We start from the raw sequence: 7586 nt of genomic DNA on the forward strand, positions 1-7586 counted from the left end.
GTGAGACCCTGTCTCAAAAAAAAAAAAAAAAGGCAATATTCATGATCTACCATCCTGGAACATGTAGGACTCCCAGGGCTTACTCACATCAGAGAAATGGGGAAGGGTTCTGAATGGCCTTCAGCTCTGAATGGTCACTATTTCTTTGCTGCCCATAGCCACTGCCAAGAGCAAGTTCTCCCTTCTGGCGTGCCCTGCCACCCTGGCAGCCCCTCACAACTGTCCTCCCATCAACCACAGTTTCAGCCATGTAGCCTTGCCAGCGTCCCCAAGGCCGCAGGACCCAGTGGCCAACCTCACTGTCCTATCCACGCCAGGTCCTTGGAAGTGCTGGCCAAGGGGTGCCCTCATCCAGCAACCTGTGGGTCCTGGAGGTCCTCGTGCACAGATGGCATCTCCAGCCTCCTGACCCTCAGGATGGCCTTCCACACACACAGCCAACACCTGTGTGAGGAATCCAGCTTCTTGCCCCTTCAGGTCCCAAGATAGCAGAGAACACAAGAACCCCTCAAAAGAAAGCCCCTAGCTTTTCCTTATGGAGAAAGTGGAAATTACCTCTTTCTTGTGCCAACGTGCCTCCTAGGGAAGCAGATGAACAAATATACAATAAAAATCTCAGTTCCAGAGCCAATGTATTTCAGAACAGCCCTAAAAACGCAATTTATTTTTAATAAGAATTACTTTTGAAGCAAAAGTTATGTTGATAGATGTTCTGTCTGCAAGTAAAAGAAGTCATCCTAGTGTAAGCCAAAACTGGGCACTTTTTTTGGTCAATGCAGAAATAGAGCCAGACCTCTGAAAAGATTGGAACCCCAACCTGGAAGGCTGCCAAAACCTCCGCGTACTTTTGCCTTGCCTATGCTTTGCTCTGCACACCTGCTTTATTTTGCTCTCTGCAGACCACTTGAGCTCCCCAGAGTATTGCGGAAGAACGTGCTCATAGCTCCAACGCACATACTCCCACTCCCCACCTCCACCTCCCTCCGGAAAGATTCATTCTGTCCATTTCTCTTTCCCCTTTTCTTTTCTTTCTTCTCTCTCTCTCTCTCTCTCACACACACACACACATTTCTCTCTCTTCTCTCTTTTTGCCTCCTCTCTCTCCTATCACTTTCTCTCTCTCGCCCATCTCTTTCTTTCTCTCTCTCCCCTCCCCGCCCCCCACCATCCCTGCTAATTTCCAAGTTCCGAGAAGGGACTCTCATTGGTCCAGGTGGACTCAGCTCTCTCTCTCTCTGGCCCAATCAACTGGCAGAAGGACAGGCTCATGTTACCCAAGCATGGCTGTCAGGAGCCCAGCCTCATCACTTGACAGGCTGCTGAGAGGGAGGGCAAAGATAAGGACGGCATCTTGTTTGGATCTCCCTAAAAGCCGACCCTGAAGCAAGAACTCAAGTGCAAGTGGGGCATTTGGGAGGTGCCAGCAATACCAGCTGGGAAATGAGGAGGTGATGCAGGAAGAGGACGAAAGGCAATAAGGGCTTCTTATTAAAGTAGCTGCCCCTGTGCATGACTCTGGGAGGGAACTCTGGGAAATGGTCCAAGCCTCAAAGTGATTCCACCTGAGAGTCAACGGAGCCAGAGTTGACGTCAGCTCCTGAGAGTCCTCGGTGGAGGACGGCTCCTAAGTGGTGATCACCCTATGGCACTTCCCACCTGTGTTGTGTGTGAGAGCAGAGTGGCTCTCCCCACTCTATCTGTATCTATAGTGTAAAGCCAATTATGTACATTTTAAACAAACACATACCGAAGACACTATGTGTTTTATATACATACATATACATAAATACACATGTTATATATACATATTATATATACATACATATATAGAATTCAAGGACTTAAATCAAGCACATTTAAAGTGGTTGCCTGTGAGGAGGAGGGAACTGAAATTTAGGGATCAAATAAGGAAAAAATATAAAATAAAACAAGACAAGGCTTTGCCCAGACCCCAAAGGGCAGGGCGCCATGAGCTGAGGAGTAGACTTCACTCAATTCTCTGCCATCTATCTGAGTTTTTCAATAAATGTTTTTAAAGCCAAAGTTGATTCATTCCTACAGTGGCATTTTGAAGGGACTATTTTTCCTTTGACCTAGATTGCCCAAACCTTCCTGAGTTTCTGTCCCTCCCAAGGCCTGGTTTTCCCCATTTCCTCCAATTCTGGGAGCCCTCCCATATCTTTCCAATAAATACCTTTTTCCCCATAATTTAGCAGAATCGGCTTCTGTTGCTTGCCACCAAATAACCCAATAAGGCCTCAATGCATGGGGCTCTGGAGGACCATCAACAATCTTCTCAGGGAAAAGACTTCCAGGTAGAGAGATCAAGAGGTCATTTATTTCCACATCCAGTGTCTAAGCTGCTCTGTCTCCAGGGCTTGTGGCTACTGTTTGGGAAGGGCAAGGTCATGCTTCAGAGTGGAGTCCCCAGCACCTTGCATGGGGCCTGGCCTACAGTATGAGGTCAATAAATGCCTTTTGAATGGATAACTTCATGAATGAAAGAGCAAGTAAGTGAGTTTACAAAAACTGCTGTTGTTCAGTTGCTTTTTAATAGAATCCTACCTCCACCCGGCCAGATGTATTTATCTTAGTAACCATGGTATAACAGGCAAAGGACAGCAGGTGTTCTGTGAATTATCTTGGTTGGACAAAATCGCTATGGGTTAGCCCCAGAACCAGTGTCATTGGTGGATGTCCTGTGCAAATGTGCTGTGCCTTTGCTATTTTAAAACCCTTCATAATTTTTTTAACAAGGGGTCTCACATTTTTATTTTGCTCTGGACCCTGCAAATTATGTAGCTGGCCCTGGTTAGCGCCAGACTAAATCAAGCAGCATACACCTACAGGAAACCCAAAGAAACTAAAATACCACTGTTGAACTCCAGTACTGCCTGGCATTCACAATGATAACTTTTAGTAGCAAAGGAATTTCTATTCCAAAAACTGTTCTCTTAGGATCATGGCCTTTCCTTCTTATTTCTGCAGAGCAGGGAAGGGCAATTCCACAAAATCCTCTCCTAAAAACAGATAACCAACCATGTAGAAACCAAATATATGGAAATTTCGGGCACAGACAGAATACATAAAGATAATTATAAGTGGTCTTGCTATGCAGTATAGCTTGGAACAGTACTTGGGTTTCTACAGACATTTTCCATTCCATTTTCTGGAAGAGGGGTAATGTTTTGGGAAGAATATGAATTTGGGACTTAAGCAGAGCTCAACATGAATATTCTTTTTTCATTTAGTTGTATAAACTTGGGAGAGCTATTTAAGTTCTTGGAACCTTAAGTTTTATCTTTAAAGTAAGAATAATCATAAGATTGTTAGGAGAAATAAATTGAGATTAGAATAAAAGGGAAGGAAGGAAGGAAAGAAAGAAGGAAGGAAGGAAGGAAGGAAAGAAAGAAGGAAGGAAGGAAGGAAGGAAGGAAGGAAGGAAGGAAGGGAGGGAGGGAGGGAGGGAGAGGGGAGGGAGGGAGGGGAGAGACAGGAGAGGAGGGGAGAAAAAGGAGAGGGTGGGGTAGGAGGGAGAGGGGAGGAGAGGGGAGAAGGAAAGGAAAGGAGAGGGCAGGAAGGAAGAAGGAGGAAGGGAGATGTCAGCACCTGCTATGGTCTCTGAAATGTCCTCAGTGTTCAGCAAATGGGAACTTCCTTCCTTATTCCTTCTTACTCTCATTTCAAAAAATGGCTGGTTTGGGGTGCTCTGGATTTAGCACCGTTTTTCTCTAGTCCCCACAAGCCTTAAATCCATTCTCAGACAAACACTAAAACTAGGAGCACGCAGGACATTCTGAGATTAAATCTCCCTCTCTTGGCCCATATTCGAATCCCACACAGTGTTTAGCAGTTCTCTGACTTATTTAATTACTCTTTGTGCTTCCTGAATTTCTTTTTCTAAAAGTTCTCAATCTATACACATCTCCTAACTCCCCGCCTCAGTCATCCCCATCCTACCAGCCCACAACCCTCCCAATCCATATCTCCACACACCCCTTCCTAATATTTCTCCAGCGCTCCTGGGTAGCAAGAAGAGTCATTCTCATTGCCTGGGGACAAACACCAGCATAGAAAAGCCCAGGTACATTTTGATAAGTGCAGCCTCGGTCTGGTAGCCACTCTCTGGGCACTTAAGTAGGTAGGGGGCAAAAAATGCTGCTCTCAACAGAATCCACATGACTTGGTTTTGAATTCCTACTTGGTGCTGACCTGGATCTTACCACCTTGTCATAACCTTTGCTACAGAGAGGAGTCACACGATTCACCCACCTCCTGCAGGGCTCGGAGGACAATCAGTAAATTGTTATTAGTGAATGGTGCTTTTCTTATTATTTACTAGCCATGCCAGGAAAAACCAGTTATTCTATCACAGACTGCCTCTTACAAGCAATTAAAAAAAGGAGAGAGTCCAGGGAAAGACAGATAAGGAAGAATTTCTAAGCCAGAAAAAAATAAAATAAAATGATTAAATTTGTACCCAGTTTAAGATTTCATTTATCCTCCAGCAAAGTGAAATTCAGCCCCTTCCAAAAGATATGAGAATCCCTGAAACAATGTGGTCTATAAGAAAGAGACAACCATGATTTCTCAGTTAATAAAATTTCAAAGCCTGCTTTCGGTAAGTATGAATCTGACTCTGGAATATTATCTTGGAATCTCCAGATGTTGGTAACAGGTGAACTCAAGAAACCTGCATCTGAATGGGGATATGGCTTTATCTGGAAATAGATGCTGTTATTATGAGTAAGGTGTACAGTTTATCTTTATAGAGATAGTTCACATACCACGCAGCTTCTTTATTTCCCCAGCTAAATTCCAGCAGCCATTTGTCATTTTTGCTAAGGATGCCTTCAACCAGAAAAGTTAGGCTGGGTCTAAAAGAAATCAAACACCATAATTTGTTTGTTTGTTTGTTTGTTTAACATCCTAATCTCTCTTTTCTGTCCCTGGTGGTTTTACTTTGTGGGCATCAGTGAGTGTGGGAGAAACCTGAGTGTGCATACCAAGGCAGTCAGGTGGTATCTTGTACGGCAGAGATGCAGTATTGAGGTTGGAAAATGGAGTATGGGGCTCAGGAAAGGCAAGCGTGCTAGTAATTCATATTTGCTTTGCACTTTACAATTGACAAAATGCGTAAGTGATTTCAGTCTAATCGATTCTTTATTCTACAGTTTTCATCCTTTTTTGACCTTTAGACATAATGATCCAGTGTGTCACACGCAGAGACATTCAAACATAGAGCATCAAAAATAAACTCTCACACAATGACACTTACCTTTACTCTATGTGAAACACTGTGTTATTTTCTATTTTATTCCATTTGATTTGTTAAAGATGCTGGCCACACCCTTCTAAATTGATTTTGCAACCTGCTAATAGAATGCAACTCTCAGCTTTCTTTCTTTTTTCTTTTCCTTTTTCTTTTTTCTTTTGTTTTTTTTTTTTGTTTTTGTTTTTGTTTTTGTTTTTGTTTTTGAGACAGAATCTCTCTCTGTTGCCCAGGCTGGAGTGCAGTGGCGCCATCTCGGCTCACTGCAACCTGGCCTCCCAGGTTCAAGCGATTCTCCTGCCTCAGCCTCCCTAGTAGCTGGGATTAAAGACTCTTGCCACCACACTCGGCTGATTTTTGTATTTTTAGTAGAGAGGGGGTTTCACTGGTCAGGCAGGTCTTGAACTCCTGACCTCAGGCAATCCCCCCTCCTCGGGCTCCCAAAGTGCTGGACTTACAGGCACGAGCCTCCACGCCCAGCTGCAACCCTCGGCCTTTTAGTCAGTGGGCTGAACACTGTGGGCTGTTACCCTCATCTCCACCTGCTTCTAAGCTCTTTCTTGACTCCTCGGGGCTAGAAGCAACCATCTTACCAGCAAGGATCCACTATCATTTGTGCCAGTACAATGCCCTTGTGTGAGATTTGGAAGGCAGAAGTCAAATGAAGTCTTCCTTCCTCCAGCAGGAGCAGTAGCCAATGACAGGCCACTCAGGTAAACGTGAGCCTTTTCTGGGGCCAGGAGTCTGGGCCTTGCCCTGCCAGCCACTCGCCCCAGGATGCTGTTTCTTGATCTCTGGGTGGAAGTAGCAATTTCCTGATGCTCACAGCTTTGCAGCTACACAGGCGAACTGGAAAGCAGTGGTACTTCTCTCGCCTTCTGTTCTCCCAATCTCTCCTGTGGTTTTTAAGTACCTAACTCCCAGTATTAAGTGCCCATTTGCTTTAAATATTGGTTTCTGTTTTCTGACTGAGGCCTGGTTGAAACAGATAGATGCTAGAAATCTTTATTTTATTTTTGCAGAAACCAAGACTCAAAGTGGTCAACAGTAGTGGGAAATCTACAACTCAATCCAAGCTTCCTGATTACAAATTTACTTTTTTTAAAAAAAACTATACCATAGCTGTATGTACATTAAATAGTTGCTCGGTATTTTGTTTCTACAAAGTTATACTTGTATACCTGCATTATGATAAAACTCCTCAAAGTGTTCGCAATTCTTTTTTTCTCCTCTTTGTCAAATTAAATTCTATTCTTATGTGCCTTCATGAACATACTGGCTGGAGTGCAGTGGCGCAGTCTTGGCTCACTGCAACCTCCACCTCCTGGGTTCGTGCAATTCTCCTACCTCAGCTTCCCAAGTAGCTGGGATTACAGGCATGCACCACCACACCCAGCTTATTTTTGTATTTTTAGTAGAGATGGGGTTTCACCGTCTTGGCCAGGCTGATCTCAAACTCCTGACCTCAAGGGATCAACCCGCTTTGGCCTCCCAAAGTGTTGGGATTACAGGAGTGAGCCACCGCACCTGACACAAATTCTTTAGGTAAGAAGACATTTTCTGCGAGGCAGTTTGGGTAAAGGAGAATTTTATTCAAGGGATAAAATGTAAGAGCCCTCTTCCTAAAATGAAAACAGGACCCAGTCAATGAGGAAATGGAAGTCCACACAATTCTGCCAACAAAGAGGGAGAATGATCCTTATTGGATTCCAACAATTTATACTAACTGTTTTTCCTCATTTTCCCTTCACTTGATTTCCTCAACTGTTTGTCATTTTTCTAATGATGCATAGTTTTACAAGGCAGTCTCAAGTCCTTTGTGAAATGAGACAGGGTTTAACAAAGTGTTTCCATAGACACCCACTCTGCACACATACTGAGGTCTAGAAAATGTTCCCTGCCACCTGAGGTTGAGATCTGACCTGACACCTAACTCTACGGTCAATGCCAGGCCAACAGCATCAGCCTCACCCAGGATTTTGTCAGAAACACACGCTCTCAGGCCCCTCCCCAGACCTGTGTTGGAAACTTTGGGGACTCTGTTGCATGCTTAAGTTGGAGAACCATCACTGTAGACATTTGACTCAAATCAGAAACACTTCCCCTCCTACTTCCCCATTCACGGCCTCTATACCCACCATCCTAAAGCTGTATAAAAGCAAGGGAAACATCAGAATTAGACAGGACTGTGTTCAGCTCCACCTTCTAGCATTCAGGGTGACCTTGTGCAATACTGAGTCTGGCTTCTGAGGCTGGGCTTCCCAATCTGTACAACAGAAACCTCATGCTACCTAGTGAGGCTGCTGTAAGAATT

Source organism: Homo sapiens, chromosome 6 (assembly GCF_000001405.40).
Source record: "Homo sapiens chromosome 6, GRCh38.p14 Primary Assembly".
NCBI classification, from domain to species: domain Eukaryota; kingdom Metazoa; phylum Chordata; class Mammalia; order Primates; family Hominidae; genus Homo; species Homo sapiens.